General features: G+C 47.9%; 1 protein-coding gene across 42 annotated transcripts in view, besides 12 other annotated features; it reads left to right on the forward strand.

The window, feature by feature from the left end:
• Positions 1-26,144, forward strand: part of PTK2B (protein tyrosine kinase 2 beta) — a 148,886-nt gene that overhangs the window by 48,764 nt on the left and 73,978 nt on the right. For 5 of the 42 annotated variants that reach the window (XM_005273447.5, XM_047421559.1, XM_047421562.1 and 2 more), the window contains exon 1: positions 21,393-21,523. The exons of 35 other annotated variants lie outside the window; for them this stretch is intronic. The gene's annotated coding sequence lies outside the window, so the exon portion shown is untranslated. Of the gene's footprint in view, positions 1-21,392; positions 21,593-26,144 lie in introns of those variants that run through there. 2 more of the 42 variants (XM_047421541.1, XM_047421560.1) reach the window with 1 other exon arrangement.
• Positions 2,316-2,475: an enhancer, noted in NCBI's record as "active region_27141". NCBI's record gives its function as "activates an Ori minimal core promoter by ATAC-STARR-seq in GM12878 lymphoblastoid cells {active_cell/tissue: GM12878}" and the evidence as "EXISTENCE:reporter gene assay evidence [ECO:0000049][PMID:35858748]".
• Positions 2,796-2,905: an enhancer, noted in NCBI's record as "active region_27142". NCBI's record gives its function as "activates an Ori minimal core promoter by ATAC-STARR-seq in GM12878 lymphoblastoid cells {active_cell/tissue: GM12878}" and the evidence as "EXISTENCE:reporter gene assay evidence [ECO:0000049][PMID:35858748]".
• Positions 2,796-3,388: a biological region, named in NCBI's record as "H3K27ac-H3K4me1 hESC enhancer GRCh37_chr8:27219644-27220174".
• Positions 2,858-3,388: an enhancer, noted in NCBI's record as "H3K27ac-H3K4me1 hESC enhancer chr8:27219644-27220174 (GRCh37/hg19 assembly coordinates)". NCBI's record gives its function as "activates a minimal SCP1, AML or CMV promoter by ChIP-STARR-seq in primed H9 embryonic stem cells {active_cell/tissue: H9 hESC(primed)}" and the evidence as "EXISTENCE:reporter gene assay evidence [ECO:0000049][PMID:30033119]".
• Positions 5,015-5,194: an enhancer, noted in NCBI's record as "active region_27143". NCBI's record gives its function as "activates an Ori minimal core promoter by ATAC-STARR-seq in GM12878 lymphoblastoid cells {active_cell/tissue: GM12878}" and the evidence as "EXISTENCE:reporter gene assay evidence [ECO:0000049][PMID:35858748]".
• Positions 11,380-11,449: an enhancer, noted in NCBI's record as "active region_27144". NCBI's record gives its function as "activates an Ori minimal core promoter by ATAC-STARR-seq in GM12878 lymphoblastoid cells {active_cell/tissue: GM12878}" and the evidence as "EXISTENCE:reporter gene assay evidence [ECO:0000049][PMID:35858748]".
• Positions 15,207-15,256: an enhancer, noted in NCBI's record as "active region_27145". NCBI's record gives its function as "activates an Ori minimal core promoter by ATAC-STARR-seq in GM12878 lymphoblastoid cells {active_cell/tissue: GM12878}" and the evidence as "EXISTENCE:reporter gene assay evidence [ECO:0000049][PMID:35858748]".
• Positions 16,267-16,326: an enhancer, noted in NCBI's record as "active region_27146". NCBI's record gives its function as "activates an Ori minimal core promoter by ATAC-STARR-seq in GM12878 lymphoblastoid cells {active_cell/tissue: GM12878}" and the evidence as "EXISTENCE:reporter gene assay evidence [ECO:0000049][PMID:35858748]".
• Positions 16,727-16,856: an enhancer, noted in NCBI's record as "active region_27147". NCBI's record gives its function as "activates an Ori minimal core promoter by ATAC-STARR-seq in GM12878 lymphoblastoid cells {active_cell/tissue: GM12878}" and the evidence as "EXISTENCE:reporter gene assay evidence [ECO:0000049][PMID:35858748]".
• Positions 19,234-19,423: an enhancer, noted in NCBI's record as "active region_27148". NCBI's record gives its function as "activates an Ori minimal core promoter by ATAC-STARR-seq in GM12878 lymphoblastoid cells {active_cell/tissue: GM12878}" and the evidence as "EXISTENCE:reporter gene assay evidence [ECO:0000049][PMID:35858748]".
• Positions 21,115-21,174: an enhancer, noted in NCBI's record as "active region_27149". NCBI's record gives its function as "activates an Ori minimal core promoter by ATAC-STARR-seq in GM12878 lymphoblastoid cells {active_cell/tissue: GM12878}" and the evidence as "EXISTENCE:reporter gene assay evidence [ECO:0000049][PMID:35858748]".
• Positions 21,425-21,734: an enhancer, noted in NCBI's record as "active region_27150". NCBI's record gives its function as "activates an Ori minimal core promoter by ATAC-STARR-seq in GM12878 lymphoblastoid cells {active_cell/tissue: GM12878}" and the evidence as "EXISTENCE:reporter gene assay evidence [ECO:0000049][PMID:35858748]".

Below are 26,144 nucleotides of genomic sequence, written 5' to 3' on the forward strand. Positions count from 1 at the left end.
ATGCCTGGTTAATTTTTTGTATTTTTAGTAGAGAAGGGGTTTCACCATATTGGCCAGGCTGGTCTCAAACTCCTGACCTCAAGCGATCTGCCTGCCTCAGCCTCCCAAAGTGCTGGGATTACAGGCGTGAGCCACTGCACCTGGCCTTGCAAATATACTTTTTATTGTCTTAAGTTATTCCATTTACTTCAGTTCTTGATTTTCTAATCTATAACGTGCATCTGCTGCCCCTTTCTCAAGGTGGGTTGCTTGGTTGTATGGATCGTCACTGTGAATTGGGGCAGGAGGAGCAGGGTATTTATGTGTTTTTGCTTATGGAAATGCACTCCAGAGTTCTGCTTTTTCCTCTGCTTGAATCACTTGTCACCATCTCTGGATTTGTTTTTATTTTAATTACTTGGATTAGAATTCCCACTGCATGTAAGTAGAATGACACAGGTTTTGGGTTTTACCTTCTCTCTTTCTTTCTCTCTCCCTATCTTTCTTTCTTTCTTTCCTGGGACCCAGACAGAGGTCAAGCTTCTTCATGCCCAGGGCTGGTGAACAGTGTTTCTAGTGCCCACCTTGTAGTCAGGATGGTATTTGTTGAGTTAATCCCTGCCTCACAAGGGTCTGGAGCCTGAAGACATCACCCTGCACAAACGTTAAACCCCCGGCCCCAGCTCCTGGGCCAACATCCTCTGATACCCAGGTGGCCTCCATAGCTTTAGTGCCCACACACTGCTTTAGATTTTTCCGGATATTTCTGACACCTGAGAATTTCTTCTTTACCACTCGGATGTGATTAAGATGTCTTTGTTATGGTTTATTCAGCATGCCATGCATATGAAGGGGGAAGGGCCCAGTCGACATTAGGTCTGTCTATTACAGGACTGAAAAATCATACATCCCCATGTTCTCACATTGGCAAAAGCTCACTTTCATTTATTCAGTCAACAAATGTCACTGAGTCAACTAGAATCTAGGTCTAGGGTGACGCATAAAGAGACACAGTCCTCCCTGAGCTCCCAGAACTTAACACCCAGAATGGGAGATGGGCTGGAATCAGACAGCCCAAGGAATCCATGCGCGATGCCGGCAAGCGCCGCAGAGAAGGAAAGTCATGCTGATGCTGATGGGAGACGGCTGATGCTCAGAGGAGGCCTGGCCTGGGCAGGGGTCAGGGAGGGATAGAGACAGGGAGCTGTCACAGAGGCCAGAGGACAGCCCAAGAGCATTCAGTGTTTCTGGTGCCCTTCCTCCTTCCAGGTCCCTCCCTCCTTCCAGCCCCGTTCCTCCACCATGGAAGCCAATGTGACTTGTGAGCTAGCTGGCTCCTGAACCGGTGGCAGAACCCCATGGCGATGCAATCATAAAGGGGTGGGGGTGGGTGAGAGGGCAGGATTTCCTGGGGTACGATGCCCCAATACACTGTGAACTACCAAATGACACGTATATTCTGTGAACTTTCAAAAAAGGATGTGAAAGACTTCTGTGCAAACATTTCACCTGGGATCTTTTCACTAGCAAGATGGGGAGAAAAAGCCAAAACTGCATTTCTCTCGCCCTCTGGGTCTAGATGTGGGGATTTCTTCTCCTTCCAGATGACAACCAGGAAGGGCCCCCAATTATTCTCGAAATAAAACGTGTCGGTCTTTCGAAATGGTCAGTGGGGTGATGTCTGGGTCCCAGGAAAGAAAGAAACATAGGATTTGTGCTTTTTGTTGATATGAAGTTAAGGGGTACAAGTGAGAGTGATTTTGTTACATGGGATACATTGCATAGTAGTAAAGTCTGGGCTTGTAGTGCAACCATCACCCGAATACTGTTTATTGTACCCATTAAATAATTTCCTATCCCTCACCCCCTTCCCACCCTCCTGAGTCTCCAATGTCTATTATTCCACACTCTATGTCCATATGTACAAATTATTTAGCTCCAGATTTAGCTTTTTATTTCTTTTTTGTTTCCTTTTTGTTTGTTTATTTGATATAGGGTCTTGCTCTGTTGCCCAGGCTGGAGTGCAGTGGTGCAATCATAGCTCACTACAGCCTCGAACTCCTGGGCTCAGGTGATCCTCCCATCTTAGCCTCCCGAGTAGCTGGGACCACAGGCATGCACCACCATGCCTGGCTAATTTTTTATTTTACTTTTTGTACAGATGGGGGTCTCACTTTGTTGCTCCAGCTGTTCTTGAACTCCTGGCCTCAAGCGATGCTCCCACTTTAGCCTCCCAAAGTGCTGGGATTACAGGCATGAGCCACCGCAGCCGGCCTGGATTTGGCTCTTTAAAGGAAAGAGCGAGCCCTGGACTGGGCAGGGTGGGAAAATGGCCCCAGCTCTCCCTCTGACTTCAGGGAGGGACCTTGGATAGGGGGCTTATGGGCTCCAGGCACCTTCTCTGTAAAATTAGGTCATACTAAGGGAGCTGGAGGGCCCTTCTCTTTCTGGTATCCCAGGTGGTCTCCCCAGGGGTGGTGGTTGTGGCTGAGGCCCACTGCCTGCTTTTCTGGTGCTCTCAATGAAGTACAGTCCTGGGGTCCTCTGTATGTGGATGGACTAGGCTGTGAAGTCTATCCGCCCCCCTGCTCCGCTCCACACCCACACACTGCTCTTCACTGATAACCCCGATGATGCAGACAGCCTCCCTCAGGAATTTTTCTCATCCTCCTAGTCATCATTTCAGTCAGCCCTGCCCCGTGTGCCAGACAAGCACACTCTATGTGTTCAAAGGTGATGCACCGATCGTGCCCTGTCTGATGTTTACTAACCAACCTGACTGGGTCTGTGGGTGACAAGGGCAGGCCCTGTTTCCCTTGGATCTTCCTTTTATGGACACAAATCGCTGACCTGTCTGGGCAGGCCTGCTCTAATCCAGGTCTGGCCCTGAGCCTCCTGTCATTTTGCTGACCCAGTTCATCATCCTGGAGGCAGGGCTTGAGTTGAAAAGTTAGAGCCTCAGGGCAGCACCAGGAGCCTGCACTTTCCGGGGCCTCCCCTTCTCTCTCCCCTAGGCTGACCTGTCCTCCCCTCTCCACTTCCTGGGCGTGACTCACAGGCAGGCCCTATCGGCATGGCAGGTATGTGTCATTTCCTTATGCTGGTGAGACCCAGAGTTTCAGTGTTAGCACCCCCACACTGTGGCTCTTCTAGCCCAATGGAGAAGGGCTAAGGGTTTCTAAAGTCGTTGACCTAGGGATTTACTGTTGGGATGAATTTCTCACCTAGGGGAGGTGTTCTGTTTTTGCTGAGAGATGACTGTGGGGAGCAGGGTTCTCTGCTCCTCTGACACTACTCATCCTCCTTCCCAACACCTGTGGGCCTTTAGCAAAGCAACACCCCACCCCCACCTTCACCCTGACCCCAGCAGTGTTTTCTTTCCCCCCACCAAGACTTCCTTGGGGCCCTCTGGCCTTGCCAAACCCCCTTTGTAGCAGCCTCCCCTTCCAGCAGTGACAGGAGGGACCCAGCCTCGGGAGCCTGTCTCTGAGAGACAGATGCAGGCAAAGAGCCGTTACCATGCAAAATCTAGAACTGTTCCCACGTGAAATCTAGAACTTCTCCCACACGAAATCTAGAACTGCTCCCACACGAAATCTAGAACTGCTCCCATGCGAAATCTAGAACCACTCCCATGCGAAATCTTGAACCGCTGGGTGGAAATGAGGTTCAGTAGGTGCGGCAGTGTCACCTCTCTGGAGCATCTTCCCAAGTCTTTATGACAAACAGGGATACCCTCATGGCCAGAGTCAGCTGGGAATTTTTGTGGAAGCAGCTCCTTGGATAGCATCACTCCTGTTCTCGTCATGGTGGAAAATGACTAAAAACTCAGGATATCCCACTGGCCCTGGGCAAATTCCCTCATTGGAGTAGGGACTAGGACAAGGGCCAGCCCATCCTGTCAGGCCAGAGCACTTCTGTGGTCTTCAGCCCAGTTCTGAGGGCCCCTCTTGAACCAGCTTTTGGGAAGCTTTGAGGGAGAGAGGGGAGCCAGAGAGGACGTCTCGTGAGAAGTGTTTGGAGGAACTGAGGCAGGTCCAGGGAAGGCCTGGGAGAGCAGAGGAGCTGTTTTCCACTAGTGAAAGGTCAGGAGGTGGAAGTGAGATGGGTTTTGTTCTGTGCATCTCCATGAGCAGGCCCAGGAAGTTACAGAAAAGTAGATTTGGGATGAATATAAAGGAAGGTTTTTTAATAATTAGAGCTCCGAGCAATGGGACAGGTTGCAGAAATGTTGAGAGAGTGAGTTTCTCATCACTAGAAGAATTCAAGCAGGAAGTGGGCAAGAGGGAGTGCCCGCATGGTCTGGGATGCAGGGAATGGACTCTGACTGCTCTTGCTGCTCTGAGCCTCTTGATTCTGATTTGGGTCTACCCCTGCCCTTCTTGCAAGTCCTCCTTTTTCTCATCATGGACCTCCTCCCCGGAGCCAGGCAGAGGCTCAGGGGCTCTCCCATGTCCTGTCTGAGTAGGCTGCATGATGACTATTGATTGGCTGAAGCCCCAGAAATACCTGCCATGTGCTGGGCTGTGACAGTCACTTGGCGTTCCTGGGACATGTTCATGTGAATTCTCACCGGTGGCTTCACCCACCCCCAGTCCTGTGGGCCACGATTACTCTCCCACGTGCTGGAGATGAGGAAGTGAGGAAATACCCAGGGCGCTGCAGGGCTAAGATTAGACTAGGGCCCGGCCGCCTGTCTTGACACATGCGCACAAGCAGCTCCCCCAAGTTAAGAGCCTGTGTATCAGCTGAGTCCCAGGGCCTGGGGCTCTCCACACACTCTACATACAAACACCTGGCAAGGAGTCCTCACAACAGCGCTGAAACAGCTGCATCAGCGTCCCGTTTTACAGAGAAAGAAGCCAGGGTTCAGGATAGTTGGAAATAAGTCTGTGCATGACTAGCAAGGGATAGAGCTGTGGCTTGTGCTCAGCTTTGCCCTCTGTGCCACTGACTGCCACCAGAGGCTGTAAGCTGCCTTCCATGCGATGCACCTCAGGCAGCTCAGAGAATGCACCTCAGGGGCTTCAGCCAGGGCAGTTCGTTTCCATACTCCTGGGTGAATGATGGCCTCCTCCAAGAATTCCAGGTCCTATGCTAAATACAACTGGGAAAGAAGTGCGTAACGCATTATTTCCAGCTTACCAGAAACCTGGAGCCCCAAAGGGTAAACATAGCACATTTACAATAAGCCAGATGTGCTGAAAAGGGAACAGCAGCCGTGAAGAAAAGCTTCCTGACGGAGGTGAAACTTGAGGTGGGCTTTACCAAGAGGAGTCTTAGATAGGCAGAGATATGGAGGTGTGAGGCGGGGAGACATTCGCTCAGTACTGCAGGGACTGAACAGAATTTTGCCATGAATTCTTGAGCTACAGTTAAGCAAGCATTATTGACTTTCCCACTTTGTCTACCTGCATATGAGTGATCCCAGAACCTTCCAGCCCCACCTTCTCATCCTGACTTGATGAGTGGCCTCACTGACGTCCAATTGACGGGAGAAGATTGTAGGCAATATTCGCTTTTCTTCTAACTGGCTGTCAATTCCTGTGGATTCCACCTTGGGACATCTTCCTTCATCTACTCCTTTTTCCTCATTATCGCCCCCATCTTGAGTAAGACACTACTTCTTGCCAAAATCAATGCATTTGTCACTCGATTGCTGCCCCAGGGTTTCTTCCTGCAAATCTGTCCTATGCATACCTGTGGGTAGTCACCTCTGTAAACCTTGACACTTCTGATGACATCTTCAGCAAGCCTCAGGCTTTCCTGCAGTTTTGCTCATATACATTCTAAGTTTTTCTGATAGCTTTCAACCCACGTCTTCTTGTTTGCAAACCTATCCAGCCTGGAAGGTCCAACTCATATCCTGCCTTTCCCATGAGATGAAATTAACTTTCTTCACCCATGCTGCTCCCCAGACATAATTTCATGTCCCCTTCGCTTGCGCTAACCACACTGTGCTGCGTGGTATTATTTGATGGCGATATCTGTCTCCCCAACTTGGCTGTAAGTCCCTGGATCACTACTTACTCCTTTTGTACTCTCTCTCGTCTGCCAACCTGGTGGGTACTCAAAGGTGTTTGTTGAATTGATTGTAGTCACAATTCCCGCAGTTCATCCCTAGCCCGAGGGAAGGCAGGAGACCCATGACACCTTAATCTTGGCCTCTTTCTTTGGAAAAAGAAAGAGTTTAGCAAGACAGGGACCTGCCTAAGCCTTGGTTTCTTTCCTCTGCAATATGGCAAAGTCCTGTATGTTTCTTTGAGAGACAGTGTGGTGTACTGGTAAAGGAAATAGGAAACAGATCTGCCATTTCCTACCTCTGTGGCACTGAGAGAGTTCCTTTAATCTCCTATGCCTCAGTTTCCCCATATGTAACATGGTAGAAGAATGATAATACCAACTTCGTTTTGCGGATTAAATGAGTTAACATTTGTCACCACTCATTAAAAATACCCCAAAGATATTTATTATTTTAAGGTTATTATGAGTAGTAGCCTGTGCTCCCTCCTAGAGGGCAAAATGCACAACCTTAAAGCTAGGAGGGCCTGAGATGACCCTGGTGATGGGGACTGTTCCAGCCAGACATTGCTGGTAATTTGCCTTCCTTTCAAGGGCTGTAAAACTGCTCCTCAGTTATGAAATGAACCAATTAAGGACTTCGGACTTAGCCAGTCCTGACAGAAGCATTTCAAACAGAACCACTAATCATACCTGATGTTTTTATTGTTTTCTGTTGACACTGCCCCAGAAACATGAGGCTTCTGGCAGCCAGCCCTGGCACACCTGCCTCATCTCTTCATGACACCATGTTTCAAAGAAGCTTCCTTGTCAAATAGGAGAAGGACCCACCTGTGCTACTTCCTGTGATTGACAGGAAGTTCTGAAACCCAAAGAAGCAAATCATGGCTCTTGGGTCTTGGGGTGGCACAAGTCACTAGAAAATCTCACTCCATTGCTGATCCTAGAATTAGTTCAGGCTCCCTGAGGACAGATCCACCCCAGTACCTCCCACCCCTTCCATCTCTTCATCCCCCAGGGGGAGGCTGTCTACTTCTTTTGGGGCTTTGGACTAATCCCCCCAGTTCCCATCTTCTGAGGTTTTGTGCTAATCTTGTTTGTCTCCTATGTGTACAAAGCAATCACCCAGGCGACATCCAGCTTCTAGATTTGGGTGCCCAGGGTTCATGTGGTGCCATGTTGGCCTTTGCCTAATTAATTTTAGGAAGTCTTTCCACCAGCCAGATCATGGTCTTCCAAAAATCCTATGGAGTCAGTTCTAGGCAGAAGCTGAGCAGGCATCTGGGCATGGCAACAACTTCTAGCCTCTTCCTCTTACCACTTGGCGTCTAGCTCCCAGGCAGGTATTTCCTGAGCCAGGGTTCCTGTGCAGGTCAGTCTTTACAATATGCAAATTTCTTGTGACCCAGCCCATTTCCCCCCGAGGGAGGCAGGAAGTCCCTTTTGAAATTTCTGAGCACACACAACAGAGGCTAGGAGAGGACCAGCTCTGAGACTCCCACTCAAGCATGTCAAGGGGTGTTTGTGGCTGTGTGGCTGTGTGTGGAGAGCAGAGGGCAATGCTGGGCTGGGGCAGGGGAGGGTGCAGAGGAGAGGGTGTGGGGGAGGGAGGAGCTGCAGCCTCAGACACAGAATTGGACTGAGAAAACAGGATGCAGCAGAGGAGGAGGCTGAGTGTGGTGGCTCGGCTGGCACTGGAATGCTCAATGTGAGGAGGTAGAAGGTGCCTGAGACCAGGGTCTCTGGAGTTCTAGAAAAGCCTGGGCCTCTTCCATGTTTGGAGTCTCTCTGGATTAAGAAAGAAGAAGAAGAGACAGAAATAGCCAAATAGGACAGCAAACATTATGATGTTGTTTAAATGTTTACTTTCACCAATTAATAGTTTTAAACACACACGCACACATGCCACACACACACTGACTACATGAATGGACTCATTTGGAAATAATGTCAAGGGCTCTTTGTCCTGTGAGGCCTGGGCCCAGTGGCCATCCTGGTTTTGGGAGCAGCTCTGCCTGAGAGACCCTCCTGTGGGCATGGTGGCAGCTGGAGGGTGTTCTGGGCTGTTGAACAAAAAGTCCAGAAAGTCCATCTGGACTGGTCCTGCTGGGGATGGTGAGGGACTGAACAGCCCAGGTGCGGGGTGTCTGGGCTTGCCCACCTGTCCATGTTTAGCCAAGTGTCCATTTCAACAAGGAGGAAGGTGACAGGCCCCCAGGACGATGGCCTCTCTCCTCAGTCACCCCAGGTCAGTCCCCAGCAAATGCAGTGGGGCCTTGATGGGGAAAGTCCTTTCAGGGTTTGTATCAATTTCTTTGCATTGTTGTAGCAGAATATCAGAGGCTGGGTAATTCATAAAGAAAAGAGGCTTAATTGGCTCATGGTTCTGCAGGCTGTGCAAGCATGGCACCAACATCAGCTTGGCTTCTGGTGAGGCCTCAGGAAGCTTCCAATCATGGCAGAAGGGAAGAGGAGCTGGCATCTCAAATGGCAAGATAGAAGCAGGGGAGGTGCCAGCCTCCTTTTTAAACAATCAGATCTCACATGAACTCATTAAACTCATTACATGGGGAAGGCACCATGCCATTCATAAAGGATCCACCACATGACCCAAACACCTCCCACCAGGCCCCACCTCCCACACTGGGAATCACATTTCAACATAAAATTGGAGGGAACAAACATCTAAACCGTATCAGGGTCTCTGATTCCACAAGAGCCAGGGGACAAAGCAGGCCCCACGGAATAGGGTGCTGTGGAGTCAGGCCCAGGCTGGCCTGCTTTGGGGATGGGATGGGCCTCTGTGGGCCCAAACCCATGCTGCCCTTGTTAGCAGACGCCAGATGGCCTAGGACCGTCCTTTCTCTCTGCCATGGAGTGAGTGCGGGACGGACGGGTGGCTCCTGTTAGAGCTGATGCTTACATGGGTGAGGGAGGGGAACGGCTATGTCCCCAAATATCCTGCTCTCTTTGCTTTCCTTCCACTGACAAGGACTCCCTCCTTGACCGAACCTTAGGCAGGCTCCTCTGAGCCCTCTTTTTGGCTCCCCCACCCTGCTCCTTGGCCTGCTAAGCTCCAGAAAGTCCAGCAAGAACTACCCCCTCACCCCCTACCCCGCCACCATCACTACCTCACCAAATTCCCCTTGGTATTCATCCCTCCACTGACTCCCTCACCTTGCCCACTGGCTGTGAATCCCCAGCTGTTCCCCTTGTGGTAGGAATTGAGTTCAATCTCCCTCCCCTATTGGAATAGTCTTGGCCCTATTGCAATAAACTGGAAACAAGGCTTCCTGCCTGATTAACTTCACCTGGTGTGATTTTGCTCCTGCTTACATGTGCAATCACACACAAGCTCTTAACACAGACACTTAGCAAACCCTCTGGTTCCATCCCATTATCTCATTGTCTCTTCTGCTCCCAGCAACATTGCTTGAAAAGGGTATTCAGGTCCAGGGAGAAGGAAGCCACCTGTCCCACTTGGCCATGGAGCTTCTGTCCAGGAACACTGACCACTCTTGCTGGGGCCTGGAGTGACGGCAGGGCCACACTCTGCTCTGTCATGTGCCTGCCCTGGGCCCCGGAGACCCTGGAAAGAAGAACTAGGGCTGCCTTGGGCTAGGAAGGAGGAAGCAGGGGTGGGCAGGGCGGAAGTGGAAAGAGATCCAGGAGTGTCTCCCCTCTCAGGACCTCTCTCACTCCAGCCCTTGTGAAGGGCTGTTCTAACCTTGTTCCCTCAGCAGCAGTCTCTGTCATCAGAGGCATTTCTCAGCATCTCTATTTTGGAGCTGCAGCTGGTTGCTTCTCAGAATAAACAGAGCTGTGATATTATGTTGAAAGCAGAATGGAATAACATCTCTTCCTTATGCCCTCCCTCTTCCCCATGTTTTCCAACCTCCACTTCCCTCTTCTTAAAGGCCTTGCCCTAAGACCTCTTCCTCCACACCCCCTGCCCTACAGCTTACCTTCTACCCTCTTATAATCACAGGATCCCTTCACTGGCATGTAGGGGGACCTGAGATGACCAGGCCCTGTGCTGGGCCTGGGGGATCCAGGGGTTTCTATCTGCAAAGAACCCAATGCCAAGTGACACAGGAGTTCATGTATTAAGAACTTAAGGCTTAGTGTGGTGACTCACGCCTATAATTCCAGCACTTTGGGAGGCCGAGGAGGGTGGATCACCTGAGATCAGGAGTTCGAGACCAGCCTGGCCAACATGGTAAAACCCCATCTCTACTAAAAATACAAAAATTAGCCAGGCGTGGTGGTGGGTGCCTTTTGTCCCAGCTACTGGGGAGGCTGAGGCAGGAGAACTGCTTGAATCCAAGAGGCAGAGGCTGCAGTGAGCCGAGATCGTGCCACTGTACTTCAGCCTGGGTGACAGAGTGAGACTCCATCTCAAAAACAAAAGAACTTAAGTCAAGGCTGAGTGTGGTAGCTCATGCCCGTAATCCCAGCACTTTGAGAGGCCAAGGCAGGTGGATCACCTGAGGGCAGGAGTTTGAGACCAGCCTGGCCAACATGGCAAAACCCCCTCTCTACTAAAAATATAGAAAAACTAGCAAAGCATGGTGGCATGTGCCTGTAATCCCAGCTACTCGGAAGGCTGAGGCAGGAGAATAGCTTGAGCTCAGGAGGCGGAGGTTGCAGTGAGCTGAGATCACACCACTGCACTCCAGCCTGGGTGACAGAGTGAGACTCCATCTCAAAAAAGAAAGAAAGAACTTAAGTCAGAGATTATCAGAGCTGGTCCAGCATTCTGCTTCAATGAGGCAACTGAGGTCTCCATTGAAGATGTGTTGGGCTCAGGGTCTCAGAGCTCTTGGGAGTTCAGGTAGGAGCCATAACACTCTGTGCAGTTTTCCTCGTACCTGGCTATATCATTATCAGAACAGCTGTGTTGTATTGAAATCAGTGAAAGGGAGCTCGATGCTGCAAGAGACAGAGAAATCAGACCATTGTTTGTCTTGGACAAAGCAGATGTGCACTACCCAGTGGATTTATGGACTGAGATGGCTTCTAGGAAGAACAGGGCAATCAGAGATGCTTTCCGGATACCAGAGGGTGGGAAGGTTTAATCATTAAGGAGCAAATGAAGAGACATGTATATGTGGCCACATTCAAGACCACGTTATTAGCTTACTCTTTTGTAAACCAGTAAGTCTGACAGTGTGTGAAGGCCCAGGCATATCACTCACCTCCTCTGTGGTCTATCCAGAGCCCTTCCGTTACGGCCTTCATCCTTTCCCTCTCTTGTCCCTTACCTGTGGTTGGTATGATTTCCCTTTTGTAAAATATGCCTAACTCCACTCACCACCCATCCTCTATCTGCTGATCTGCTGTGTAGCTTCATCCACATGAGACTCAAGAGCAATGCAGAATGCAAGGACAGGGAGTTCCTGGAAACTGGGTATGTTGCCTCACGACCTTCTACCCAGGCCCAAGTGTGGTCAGCCTCATCTTGCTCCGTGGTCTCACTTCTCAGCCTGTGCATCAGACCTTTTTCCCCCTGTTACCTGAAAGCAACTCTATGATGAAAAGAGGATGATCTGAGACTTCAGTGGGTTTCCTCTCTTGGTTTTCTCTTATTTTTAAAGAGAAAACTGTGGTGAGACTCTCAAGTTAGTCTTTTTAGTTTATTTTTATTTTTTTTTGAGGCAGAGTTGCCCAGGCTGGAGAGCAGTGGTGCAGTCTCGGCTTACTGCAGCCTCTGCCTCCTGGGTTCAAATGATCCTTCCACCTCAGCCTCCCAAGAAGATGGGGCTACAGGTGCTCGCCACCACACCTAGCTAATTTTTATATTTTTAGTAGAGACCAGGTTTTGCTATGTTGGCCAGTTGGTCTCAAACTCCTGGCCTCAAGTGATACACCCGCCTCAGCCTCCCAAACGCTGGGATTACAGGCATGAGCCAACACATCTGGCCCCAAGTTAGTCTTTATAAGCCCCAGTGGAATGTCCAGGAGTAAAGCTGTCAGCCTGGGGGTAGCTTGGGCTTGCTGAGCATTGAGGGAGCTACACAGAGGGCATTCTTGCCGGCTGAGAGAGTTGTGTTGTGAATGCCAAGGTCGGCGGCTGGAGGTGGGCCTGGTTCTTCCATGCACACTGGGAATGGGCATAGCGTGAAGAATGTGAGTTTTGAACTCAAGGGACTTGGAGGTATGTCTCAGCTCTACCATTTCTTAGCTCTGTTACCTTGGGCTGGTTATTTATTGTTCTTGAGATTCCATTTTCTCATCTGTAATATGGGAATATAAACAGAATCTATTTTTATTATTTATATATATATATATATTTTGAGACAGAGTCTCACTCTGTCATCCAGGCTGGAGTGCAGTGGCACAGTCTTGGCTCACTGCAACCTCCGCCCTCTGAGTTCAAGCAATTCTCCTGCCTCGGCATCCCAAGTAGCTGGTATTACAGGCATGCACCACCATGCCCTGCTAATTTTTGTATTTTTAGTAGAGATAGGATTTCACCATGTTGGCCAGGCTGGTCTCGAACTCCTGACCTCAGGTGGTCTGCCTACCTTGGCCCTTCAAAGTGCTGAGATTTCAGGCATTAGCCACCATGCCTGGCCAACAGAATCTATTTTAAAGAAGAGTTCACTTCCTGATTTCAGGAGTAATCTACTGAGCACCTCGTGTGTGCCAGGCACCGATCCAGGCAGAGGCGCATGGCCTGGGAAGTACCAATATGACGCTTGAGCTAGGGACACTCATATGTTCTGCAAGGGGAACAGGGTGTTATGTGGATTGCATAAGAAAGCATATATGCATTGCTTAACCCCATGCCTGATACATACAAAGCACTTGATAAACAGTAGTTGCTATTGTGACTATATTCAACACTAGAAATATGATATAAATGTGGTCAGTGAGCCAGAAGAGGAGTTTCATTTGATAAAATCTTCAGTTTCTTCCTCAAAGGCGTAACTGTCTTTTAATTAAAGGGAGTGTATTAGTCCAAGTTCCCCAGAGAAACAGAACAGACAAGATGTAGAGATGTCTATAAAGAGATTTATTATAAGGAATTGGCACACAGGAGTATGGAGACTGGCTAGTCCCAAGATCTGCAGTCGGCAGGCTCAAGACCCAGGAAGAGTTAATGTTTCAGTTTGATTCTGAAGGCAAGAAGAAGCTGGTGTCCCAGTTGGAGGGTCCTCAGGCAGGAGGAATTCCTTCTTACTCAGCAGGGGGGTCAGCCTTTTGTTCTATTTAGGCCTTTAACTGATTGTATGAGGCCCATTCTCGTTAGGGAGGTCGATCCACTTTACTCAGTCTACCAACTCAAAAGCTAATCTCATGCAAAAGCACCCTGACAGACTCACCCAGAATAATGTTCAACCAAATATCTGGGTACTCCATAGCCCAGTCAAGTTGATACAGAAAATTAACCATGACAGGGAGCAATGGCCAGAGGACATCATAGTTGAGATAGCCTAGAGGAGAGCTGAGGACACCTGGGCTGTGCTGGCAACCACCCTGTTCTGGAGGGAAGGGTAACCCTAGCTGAGGTTGGGACAGAGGATGCAAACTAGTGGTCCTGGAACTTGATCCAGTCCAAAGATGTGTTTTTGTTAGCTTATACTGTTTTGCAAATCTGCACTAGCATTTAAAGATTAGAGAGTTCATATACAAAGTCTAAATTTCCACATAGACATTTCCAAAGTCTATGTGGCCACTTCAAGTCTTCTCTTGAAAGACTAGAAGTGGCCACATAGAGGTCAAGCATCCATTCTCATAAGGCAAGCATCAGCTGAACCCAAGCCACAGCTGCCCCCTTAGCCCAGATACCCACTGGCCTATCGGCTTAGGCTCCACCAGCCATGCCTGATGGGCTTCACTCATGCAAGTTACCACTGCTGCTGCTTTTGGAGAAAAGACACCCAGGCCTAAACATCAGGGTCCTGCCCCTGCCACAGTGGGGAGCCCATGGCAGCAGCATGCTGTGTTCTCTCTGTGGGAGCACAGCAGGGAGGCAGCATGAGTCTGTGTTCAAAGCACACATCAGACATCTTACTCCCTAGTCCCCACACAGACTTCTCCAACAAGCTGCTGTCTAAAGTGTTCTCCCTGACCAGAGTCTTCACATAGTTCTTTGCCTGGGGAGGGGACTTGGGTAGTGGTGGGAAAACTCTTCCCCCTCCAACTAGAAAGTAGCTAAACAACTGGAGAGAATTGGCCTTGGGCAAGCAGCTAGGAGAGGACCCGTTGCTCCTCCCTGCCTCTATATTGTGTAAGTTTATCCCGACATTTAAAACTTAGAGCTGGGTGTGGTGGCACACACCTATAGTTCTAGCTGCTTGGGGGGCTGAGGCAGGAGAATCACTTGAGGCCAGAAGTTGGAGGTTACAATGAGCTATGATCACACTACTGCACTCTAGCCTGGGTGACACAGCAAGACTCTGTTTCTAAAATAAATTTTTTTTAAAAAAAATTGGAGATTTCACATTAAAACTCTCATGAAAAACCAGCAGTGGTCATATGGAGGTCAGGCATCTTTTCAGGGCAGGGTGTCTTCTCCTTCTGGTTTAAAGCAGGAGAGGCCCTGAGAGAAGAGCCTTGGGATGGGATCTTCTAGAGCCACAGAATAGTGAAAAATACGCCTCTTGAACAGGAGGTGTTTGGTGGGAGAAGAAAAGCCTCTAGGGAACCCAGAGCTGCTGCTTGTAAAAAGCTGAAGAGACATTGCAAGGAGGAGGGATCGAACCAACCCTGCATGTCCCCAGAGGGCAGAAGTCCAAGCAGAGACCAAAGCAGTGAGAAAGCAGGCTTGCAGTGAGTATAATGTAGGCTTTACCACCAAGGAGAGCTCCTTGGAAGTGGGAACGCTGATACATAGGTGGTAAATCCTGAGGCTGAGGGGCAGCAGGGGCTGCACATTGGGGCTTCTAAGTCTTTTTCATGTGCAGTGCACATAGACAATAGAAGTATTTGCAGGGCACACAAAGTAGACTGGCAGGGATTTGAAACCCCAAAGGGGACTGCATTTAAGCCTAAAGGTTCAAACCATGAGTGGCCTGTTTTGAGGATACTTGGGATCTGTTTTAATCCAGTATGGTAGGACATGCAGATGCAGAGATGACTGTCATGAAGGAAGAAGTTCGCATTCACAGACCCCTCACAACAGGAGTCCCAGCACACCACATAGGGCCCCGTGGGGCAGCACAGGTGGGTCAGGAGGCAGAGAGAGTAAGAAAAAATGTAAGCAGGAGCATTTATTGTGATTTCTGTGGGAAGGAACATGAAACAGCATAGCAGGTTTAGGATTGGCTCACGTGAATAATTTCAGCAGGCTCTGGGCTCTCACATAGGCACTGTCCCCAGTTACCTGGTACCTACTCTGGGGTGATTAGGACAGTTGGATAGTGGCCTCCAGTGTGAGTGTGACAGGAGGCAGTTGCGAGTGTGGGCTCTGGATGGGTTGGTTTGCATATATGAAAGGCAGCTGTCAGAAACTGGCTGGCTCTGGGAGAAGCAGTCCCTCCAGGGTCAGTGGGGCCCCATGTCAAAGCATCAAATGTAGAAACCAGAAAACGTGGTTATTACAAAGCCTGGCCCACATGCCCTTGAGAGCTGAGGGGATCAGTTTGCCCAAGTGCACCAGATGCAAAGCACTGCACTATGTGATGTCTGCAATTCCTTTCAGCCTTGAGATGCTGTAAATCTAATAGCATAGTGAGCTGGAAATGACTTGGGAGTTCAGCCTTATCTTCTCTTTGAACAGAAGGGACCTGAGTCCAAAGAGCTGAACCAACTTGATTAGTCTCATGATGGATTATAAAGTGGGGACTGGAACTCAAGGCTTTCCCACCATCCTGTGAGGCTGGAAGGGGCTGATGGGAGTGGCATGACATCTTCATCCATGTGATCTCACAATCATGAGGAGGACATGGGCTCAGGAGTGCCAAGGCTGCAGCATAGGGAGTTTCTGGGGCAGAAGGAAGATGTGGGCAGTAGCACAGTCCCTGCCAGACCAGTGAGGCCCTCCTGAGTCCCCTTACCCTGTCCTTGACATGTAGGGAACTCAGAGCCTAAGGTCTTAGGGCCAGGATGTAGCCTGGGATGAGGAGACCTCAATCTGGTCTCAGCTTTGCCCTGAACCAAGTGTCTGACTTGGGCAGTTGAGTTTTCCTCTCTGGTATCACCCTTCCCAGTGGTCATCCAGTCATTTCCAAAGCATGCCATCATCATTTCTGTTCAAATAAAGATCCCTTTGCCCCACCCACTAGTTCTGACCTGTAGATCCAGGGCAGAACATATGTGTTTCCCTCGAGGAACATCCAGGTCCTAGAATCCACCAGACCCTTCCAGTGTTAAATCCTACAGTGCTCTCATTGACTGCCTCCTGGTCATAAGCTACTAGGTAGTGAAGGGCTGAGAACCAGACCCCACGTCTCCTGCCTCCGGGGGCCGTGTTCTTTCCCTGTCCCATGTGCCTCTCCCCGAGTGGGCACCTCCCTCCTCCCCAGTTATGCACGGGTGCCCCCAGCTATATAGAAGCGTGCCATGTCCACTTATGTCTGGTTTAGTATTCTGCCTGTACGACCTGTTTGTTCTCAGAAGAGCCGTGGGCTGCACTGGTGAGCAGGGTACCCTGTGTTCTGGAGCCTTCATTCCCCTCACCAGGCACACGGCCATGCAATTAGGCACTTGACACATGATGCCAATGTTGACAGCCGAGAATAGAACCCAAGAGTGGGAGGTTAGTCTGCTCAGCCGTGCTGTGGGATGAAGAGGTTTGTGGTTGCCACCTCAGCTTGAGGCTGAGCAGAGACCAGAGCTCAGAGTGGACGAAGCATCAGACAGGAGCCCCAGGTGTGGGCTGTAAAGCCATGGGAGAGAGTCCAGGGGTGCTTGACCTTCAAAGCCCATTCAGGTCTAAAGTCCTCAGAACCCAAGACCTAGACCCAGACAACAGGGAGCTGTAGAGTGGGTTCAGGCCAGGCCAATCTGGGCAGGACCAATAGGCTTGGCTGCCCCCACCCCAACTAGTGCCATTGGCCGTTCTGGGAGGGAGCAGTCTTTGGAGACTTCTGGTGATCATCACTGGTGTCAGCAGATCTTGTCCAAATTGATTCCTGTGGGCTTCTTGAGGTTGGGACTAAAATGTGTCTGAGCAGCAGGTGGGCCTGGACTGGAATGATCTTGAACCACACAAACCCTCATGTTTCTTTTTGTCAGAGGCATGTGAACCAGAGCAACTCCATCTTAAACAGGAGCTAGGTAAAATGAGGCTGAGACCTATTGTGTTGCATTCCCAGATGATGAAGGCATTCTAAGTCACAGGGTGAGATAGGAAGTCAGCACAAGATACAGGTCATAAAGACCTTGCTGATAAAACAGGTTACAGTAAAGAAGCCGGCCAAAACCTACCAAAATCAAGATGGCGATGAGAGTGTCCTCTGGTCATCCTCACTGCTACACTCCCACCAGTGCCACGACAGTTTACAAATGCCATAGAAATGTCAGGAAATTACCCTGATCTAAAATTTCTGGTCTAAAAAGGGGAGGCATGAATAATCCACCCTTTGTTTAGCATGTCATCAAGAAATAACTATAAAAATGGGCAAACAGCAGCCTTCAAGACTGCTGTGTCTATGGAGTAGCCATTCTCTTATTCCTTTACTTTCTTAATAAACTTGCTTTCACTTTATGGACTCACCCTCAATTCTTTCTTGTGTGAGATTCAAGAAACTTCTCTTGGGGTCTGGATCGGGACCCCTTTCCTATAACATTTTCACTCCTGCGTTTAGAACCAGAGACTCGCTGTGCAAAGTGGGAGTGAGGAGGGTGCAACTTGTGTCTCACAGCTCCAGAGGCAGAGCTGCCCCCTGCGGGTAAAAGGTGTAGAAAAACTCCTTTAACATATCCTAGGAAAGACCTCTTTGGTACTGAAAACCAACCAGAAATGGAATAGATAGGTTGTTTTTGCCAAAAGGGGCGCCTGTCATTGAAATATGCAGATGCTTGAAGGAACCAGAGGAACTTGGGTGATCTGTGATCACGGCCAACACTCAGTGTTGGGTATGTGTAGTTTACCACGTACATGATGGATATTATTTTTACTCATGTTCACAACAGTTCTGGGAAAGATAGTGCTAACATGCCCAATTTTATGGGCACGTACACTGAGATTCAGGGAGGTAACAGGATTTGTCCCAGATGATTAGACTGGGCCATGACAGAGCTCCAGAAATGTGCTTGTTTCATGCCAGTGTGATAAGAACTTTGCACACCTGGCATCCTTCTTTGGCTGCCATGGGGAGGTCTTAGTTCTAGTCCTGATTCTGTCTCCAGCTGAGTGTGGTCTTAACCCTTTCTGAGCCAGTGTCTCCTTCCTGTAAAGGGGCCAGGGCCACCTCCGGAGGCAGGAGAGAAGACAAAGAGCTAGTACACTGTGAGCTCTCTGTCACATGCACTGCCTGTGTCACGGGAGGGTATTTTTACTGAAGGGCGCCATTACATTAAAATGGAGACTCCATTTCTAAACAGGTGGGCACATTATCTCTAGCTGGAAGGAGCCTCCCCCAAGAGCACAGTTCACAGGTAAAGATTAGGAGGTGTTGAGTGCAGGTGGAGAAGGTTCTGGAAAATGTAAACCTCCTCCCCTACTTAACACTATTCCTGGCATCACCTGCATAGTCAGTCCTCAAGGGATTACTTGAAAGCTAGCACACCCCAGGGCATTTACTTTGGGGAAGGGAACATCCCTACCTTTGGTTCCCTCACTTGTAAAAACGAGGGAAGTAAAAACAAATTATCTGACATTCCCTTTAGCTTTGGTTCCTGCCATTGGTGAGTTTACAATCTTAGTTGTTACTTTTCTCTTTTATCAATATCTCCTTCTATCTTTTTCTTTCTTTCTGCTTTTCTCTCCCTCACCTTTTCTTCCCTCCACTGTCTCATATCTCCCTCAACAACCAAGGTCTCTCCTTGTAGCTAACGAGTTTAGCTCCCAGAATTATAGACCAAGACAATGATCCTGGAAGCATCAAATCTAGTCCAGGGGCTTTAGCCCAGACCTTAAGGAATCTTGGGCTATGGTGAGGGATTCAGGGGGGTTCTGCAAATATGGAAGTATTTTCAGCCAAACAATGAAGAAATAAACCACTTCAGGAGCTGAACGATCACTTTAAACAGTATGAAATATTCATATGCAAGACTGTTGGAAGAACGTCCCTCTCACCTAATCCCCTCACCTAATCCCCTCACTTTTTAGATGAGAAAAGCTGAGGTCAGATAGATAAGGTGATGTCTCCAAGTTATCCGAGTGTTGCTCTGGGGTTTAAGTTGCACATGATTCAAGAGTATAAAATCTTACAGCTTATCTGTGTGTGTGTGTGTGTGTGTGTGTGTGTGTGTGTGTGTGTGTGTGTGTACACAAGGCAATCAGAATATTCTGTCAATAGAAGCAGAAAAGTAGAACTTGGTTCCTTCTGGGGCTCCTGAAAACTGGGGTGTAGACATAACCCCCACACTCTACTCCCACCTGCTTCATCTTATCCCCCACCCCAAGTGGAGCTAGGGGAGAGCAGCACACAGTTCCCCTCCTCACTGGCTGTCTCCTCCCTGCTGCCTCTTGTCTGTGGTGAGGCTGTGGAGAAGTGGGTTGCTGTTCTTTTTTCTGACTTCCTGTGTGCTTCAGAAACCTCAATGAACAAAGAGCTAAAGGAAGAAAGGGCCCCGGCACCGTTATGCCAAACATAGACTCACATCCGACACGGGGGAGCTGGATGCCCGATTTTTATAGAGATGAAACCCAGGATTCAGGATTCTGACTGCCCTGTTCCCAACGTGGCTGCATGGGGAATGTCAGTGCTTGGGAGCTGGAAGTAGGTCGCAGGCTTCTCATTCTTTTCAGGCTTAGGTCTAATGTATTTAAAGAGGTAGCCGAAGTGAGTCTTTAGATGTATCATGGAAATCAAACCAACATTAAAAGGGAACATTTAATTTCCTCTCTGCAACCACTGTTTTTTGTTTGCTTTTGGAGACAGGGTCTCATTCTGTCGCCCAGGCTGGAGTGCAATGGCACAGTCATAGCTCACTGAGCTTTGAACTCCTAGGCCACCTCACCCACCTGGGTAGCTGGGACTACAGGCACATGCCACCATGCCGGGGTCTTTTTAAAAATTTTTTGTAGAGATAGGAGTCTTGCCTGTGGCCCAGGCTGGTCTCAAACTTCTGGGCTCAAGTGATCTACCTACCTCGGCCTCCCAAAGTGCTAGGATTACAGGCGTGAGCCACCACACCCAGCCTACCACAGCTGTTTTAATTTCTCTGTTTTCCTTCAGTGTACAACTCAGCTGTAACCATAGGAGCACATTTCCATAGATAATTTGCATATAATCTCTGGAATCTTCATATTCCCTTAATTGAATATGCCTAAGTAGTCTCCTCATTACTTACCTTTTAGCACATGCAAGTTAATTTACGAGTGAGTCTCTCCATCCAGGTGAGAACAGCATCGCAGGGAAAAATCTGTGCATTTTATTTTTGAGATGGTATCTAAAAAAACTGGACTGCAATGGCGTGATCTTGGCTCACTGCAACCTCTGCCTCCTGGGCTCAAGCGATTCTCCCACCTCAGCCTCTTGAGTAACTGGGATTATAGGCTCCCGTCACCATGCCCAGCTAATTTTTTTGTATTTTAGTAGAGACGGGGTTTCACCATGTTGCCCAGGGTGGTTTCGAACTCCTGAGTTCAGGCAATCTGCCCGCCTTGGCATCCCAAAGTGCTGGGATTACAGGCATGAGCCACTGCACCTGGCCCTGTGCTTTTTTGATGTTGTTTTTGTTATTGTTGTTTATTATTGTTTGGACGACACATTGCTGAGCTTTCTGTCCATAAGCTCCTATTCTCAGGGACTTGCTACTCACATCATGATCCACAGGAGACTCTCGGGGTCACGTCTTTCTCTGCCCAGCCCTGGCTTCCTGGTGCTGTGTTCATGTCTGATTTTGGATCCCTGAGACCTTTTTCTCCTACCTTTCTTCTGAAAGGATAGCAGTCATTTTGTGACCTTGCTCAGGAAATTTTCAGCTGGGTTTTCCCTTTGTATTTTATTTGATGTTTTTCACCAGGGAGGAAAACTCCTGCTACCATGTGAGTTGTGCCAGGGGAGACTTGCCAGAGAAGAGCTGCCTGCAGGGGGATTTCTCGCTACCACATGCAGGGTTTCCCTACTTTGGAAGCCTCGTGGCTGGAATTTTAAAGGCCAAAGTTCCCCCAAATTTTCTGAACGCTGAATGATTGAAAACACCTATTTTTTTTTTCTCTTTTTACCCAAGCGCCTTTTTTCCCAATAAAGGGCTTGGGTAACGACAAGAAACTAAAACTGAAACCACAACTCTGCTCTAAAATAAGAGACTCAGAGACACCCAGGAAGGGCCTGCCTTTGAGACTTGTCACTCCCTGAGATCCATCGTGGCACCAAATGTTTGCCGAGCTCCGCCCTGGGAGGGAGGCCTGCAGCCTGGGAACTGGGAGACCTGGGTCCCAGTGGAGAGGCCTCACCATGTAGTAAGTCTCTCTCGATTCAGTTCTCACAGTGAGTTGAGGGCCAAGCCAGCCATTCTTCAGCCTCACCGGGTGGGTACCAGAATCACCTGAGATGTTAGGAAGGTGGGGAAAGAGGGAGGTGTTGGTCAAAGGGGACAAAGTTATTTACGTAGAATGAGTAAGTCCCAGAGATCTAATGCACAGCATGGTGACTGTACCTAAGTATGCTGTATTAGATACTTCAGATTGGCTAAGAGAGTTGATTTTTTTAATTTTAGTAATTTTTTAAATTTATGCATAATAACTGTACATATTTATGGGGTACAGAATGATATTTGAATACATGTATACTCTGTGTAATAATCAAATCAGAGTAATTACCATATTCATCATGGAAAGCATTTATCATTTCTTTGTGTTGGGAATATCCAGAATCCTCTCTTCTATTTAAAAATATACAATAAATTATTGACTCTAGTCACCCTACAGAGCTACAGAACATTAGCACTTAGTCCTCCTATCTAGCTTTAATTTGGTATCCATTAACCAACCTCTCTCCATCCACCTTCCACCCTGCCCTTCCCAGCCTATTATAACCACGATTCTGTCTACTTCTGTGAGCTCAACTTTTTTAGCTCCCACCTATGGGTGAGAAAATATAGTATTTCTCTTTCTGTGCCTGACTTATTTCACTTAACATAACATCCTCCAGGCTCATCCATGTTGTTGTGAATGACAAGATTTTATTCTTTTTCATGGCTAAATAGCACTCCATCTGTTGATGGGCACTTCGGTTGATTTCCTGTTTTGGCTATTGTGAGTAGTGCTGCAATCAATGTGGACGTGCAGATATCTCTTTGACATAATGATTTAATTTCCTCTGGAAAAAATCCCTAGTAGTGGGATTGCTAGATCATATGGTAGTTCTAGTTCTATTTGTAGTTTTTTTGAGGAATCTCCATACGGTTCCCCGTAATGGTTATACTAATTTACATTCCCACCAATAGCGTTTAGGAGTTCTCTTTTCTCAACATCCTCACCAGCATTTGTTATTTTTTGTCTTTTTGATAATAGCCATTCTAACTGGGTGAGATGCTATCTCATTGTAGTTTTGATTCATATTTCCCTTATGATTAGTGATATCGAGCATATTTTCATTTATCTGTTGGCCATTTCTATGTCTTCTTTGTTTTTCTGAGACGGAGTCTCACTCTGTTGCCCAGGCTGGAATGCAGTGGCATGATCTCGGCTCACTGCAACCTTTGCCTCCTGGGTTCCAATGATTCTCGTGCCTCGGCCATTGGAGTAGCTAGGATTACAGGTGCACCACCATGCCCAGCTAATTTTTGAATTTTTAATAGAGAGGGGCTTTCCCCATGTTGGCCAGGCTGGTCTTGAACTCCTGTCCTCAAGTCATCCATCCACCTTGGCCTTCCAAAGTGCTGGGATTATAGGTGTGAGCCACCACACCTGGTTATATGTCTTCTTTTGAGAAATGTCCTTTCAGATACTTTGCTCATTAAAAAAAAATTATTATTATTTACCATTGAGTTGTTTGAGTTCCTCATGTATCCTGGATATCAGTCCCTTGTTGGATGAACGGTTTTCACATATTTTCTCCCATTCTACAGGTTGCCTGGTCCACTCTGTCAGTTGTTTCCTTTGCTGTGCAGAAGCTTGTAGCTTGATACAATCCCATTTGTCATTGGGAGGTCAAGACAGGAGGATTGCTTGAAGCCAGGAGTTCAAGATAAGCCTGGGCAACATAGTGAGATGCTGTCTCTGTTTTTTTTTTTAATCCCATGTGCCTATTTTTGCTTCTGTTACCTGTGTTTTTGAAGTCTTACCTGCAAAATATTTGCCCAGACCAATGTCCCGAAGGATTTACCCTGCTTTCTTCTAGTAGTTTTATAGTTTTGAATCTCACATTTTAGTCCTTATTCTGAGTTGATTTCATGTATAGTGAGAGATAGGGATCTAGTTTCATTCTTCTGCATATGGTTATTCAGATTTTTCAGCACCATTTATTGAAAACACTGTCTTTTTCCCAATGTATGTTCTTGGCATCTTTGTTGAAAATCAGTTAGCTATAAATATGTGGATGTATTTCTGGGTTCTCTATTCTGTTTCATTTGTCTGTGTGTCTGTTTTTATATCAGTACCATGCTATTTTGGTTACTTTAGCTTTGTAGTATTTTTGAAATCAGGTAGTGTGATGCCTCCAGCTTTGCTCTTTTTGCTCAGAATTGCTTTGGCTATTTGGGGTATTTTTTGATTCTACATGAACTTTAAGATTGTCTTTTCTATCATATTTCTGTGAAGAATATCATTGGTCTTTTGATGGGGGTTGCATGGAATTCGTAGAGCGCTTTAGGTAGTATGGTCATTTTAACAATATTAATTATTCCAATCCATGAACATGGAACATTTTTCCATTTTGTGTGTGTGTCCTCTTCTAATTCTTCCCACCCCCCCACTCTCCCAACACACGCCGAGATGGAGTCTTGTTCTGTCACCCAAGCTGGAGTGCTGTGGTGCAATCGTGGCTCACTGCAACTTCTGCCTCCTGGTTCAAGCAATTCTCCTGTCTCAGCCTCCCAAGTATCTGGGATTACAGGCACGTGCCACCAGGCCTGGATAATTTTTGTATTTTTAGTAGAGACGGGGTGTCACCACGTTGGCCAGGCTGGTCTCGAAATGGCTGGTCTCGAGCTCCTGACCTCGTGATCTGCCCACCTTGACCTCCCAAAGTGCTGGGATTACAGGTGTGAGCCACCGCGCCTGGCCTCCTCTGTTTCTTTCATCAGTGTTTTATAGTTTCCATCATAAAGGTCTTTCTTGGTTAAAAAATATCCTCTCTTATTAAAATTATTCCCAGTTATTTTATTATGATTTTTGTAGTTATCATAAATGAGATTGTTTAGTTTTGTTTTAGATAAGGTCTCACTCTGTTGCCCAGGCTGGAGTACATTGGCACCATCATAGCTCACTGCATTCTTGACCTCCTGGGCTCAACTGATCCTCCCACCTCAACCTTCTGAGTAGCTGGGGCCACAGGTGTGCACCACCACACCTGGCTAATTTTTTTTTTTTTGAGACAGAGTTTCACTCCTGTTGCCCAGGCTGGAGTGCAATGGTGTGATCTCGGCTCACCACAACCTTCGCCTCCCAGGTTCAAGCGATTCTCCTGCCTCAGCCTCCCGAGTAGCTGGGATTACAGGCATGAGCCACCATGCCCAGCTAATTTTTTGTATTTTTAGTAGAGACAGGGTTTCTCCATGTTGGTCAGGCTGATCTCGAACTCCCGACCTCAGGTGATCCTCCTGCCTCGGCCTCCCAAAGTGCTGGGATTACAGGCATGAGCCACCATGACCGGCCCAACACCTGGCAAATTTTTAAATGTTTTGTAGAAACATGGTCTCCCTATTTGTGCAGGCTGGTCTCAAACTCCTGGACTCAAGCAATCCTCCTGCCTCAGCCTTGCAAAATGTTGGGATGACAGGCATGAGCCACTGTGCCCAGCCAAGATTACTTTTTCTATTTATTTTTTAGCTAGTTGGTTATAAGTATACAGAACTGGTTTTTATATGTTGATTTTATATCCTGCAACTTTATCAAATTTGTTTATCAACTCTAAACAATTTTTGGTGGAGTCTTTAGGTGTTTCTTTATATAAAATCATGTCATCTGCAAAGAGGAACAATTTGACTTCCTCTTTTCCAACTTGAATGCCTTTCATTTCTTTCTCTTGCCTAATTGCACTGATTAGGGCTTCCTAGAGAATAGATCTTAAGTGTTTTCACTACAAACACAAGAAAAGGTAACTGTGTGGAGATGAATATGCTAATTAGCTTGACTATAATAATCAACTTGCTATACAGCTCAAATATATACAATTTCAGTTTAAAATATTTTATAAAGAATCACCTGAGATGTTATGGAGAAATACAGATGGCTAGGCCCCAACCCCCATGGTCTCCATGCACTAGGTCAGGTTAAGGCTTAGAGATATTTACACTATATATTCCAGCGATGCCAACATGCATGTAAACAGGGTGAAGAACCCAGGGACCAAGCGCTGTCTGAGGTTGTTTCTCATCTAACAGCAACGTTTTACCATTAGAACCCAGAGCCCCAGAGGACCTTACTCTGGGGGTGTCTATGGAATGAGGCCTCCTTCTTAGGTAGGTCTGTACTCTGAATTATAGCCAGAATCTTCATCACTGCAGGGCATAGCGGTAAAGAGCCCACACCTGTAGCCCCTTCTGACTCCACTCAAATCACAGTTCTGCTCTCGACTTGCTGTGTGGCCTTTGGGAAGTTACTCTGCTCATCCTCGGAGACCTCATCCATGGGACAGGGGGTAATGGTACCTAGCTTTTGGGTTTTTCTTAGGATGGACTGGGCTCATTGTGCATGGAAAGTGCTAGCCCAGGGTTGGGCTACGGAAGCACTCTGTTACCTGCTGCTGTTTCTCAGAAGTGAGCCCTTTGGCATGGAGAGCTGGAGGAAGAGGACGAATGCTCAAGGTCTCAGGGCTGGAGAGGAAATCATGATCATGGGGTGGCAAAGGACCTCAAGGCACTGCCAGACACTCTGGGCTCTTGGAGAACTGTTCAGAGTTGGCGATAACTTTCTGTAA

Source organism: Homo sapiens, chromosome 8, assembly GCF_000001405.40.
Source record: "Homo sapiens chromosome 8, GRCh38.p14 Primary Assembly".
In the NCBI taxonomy this organism is placed as follows: Eukaryota; Metazoa; Chordata; class Mammalia; order Primates; family Hominidae; genus Homo; species Homo sapiens.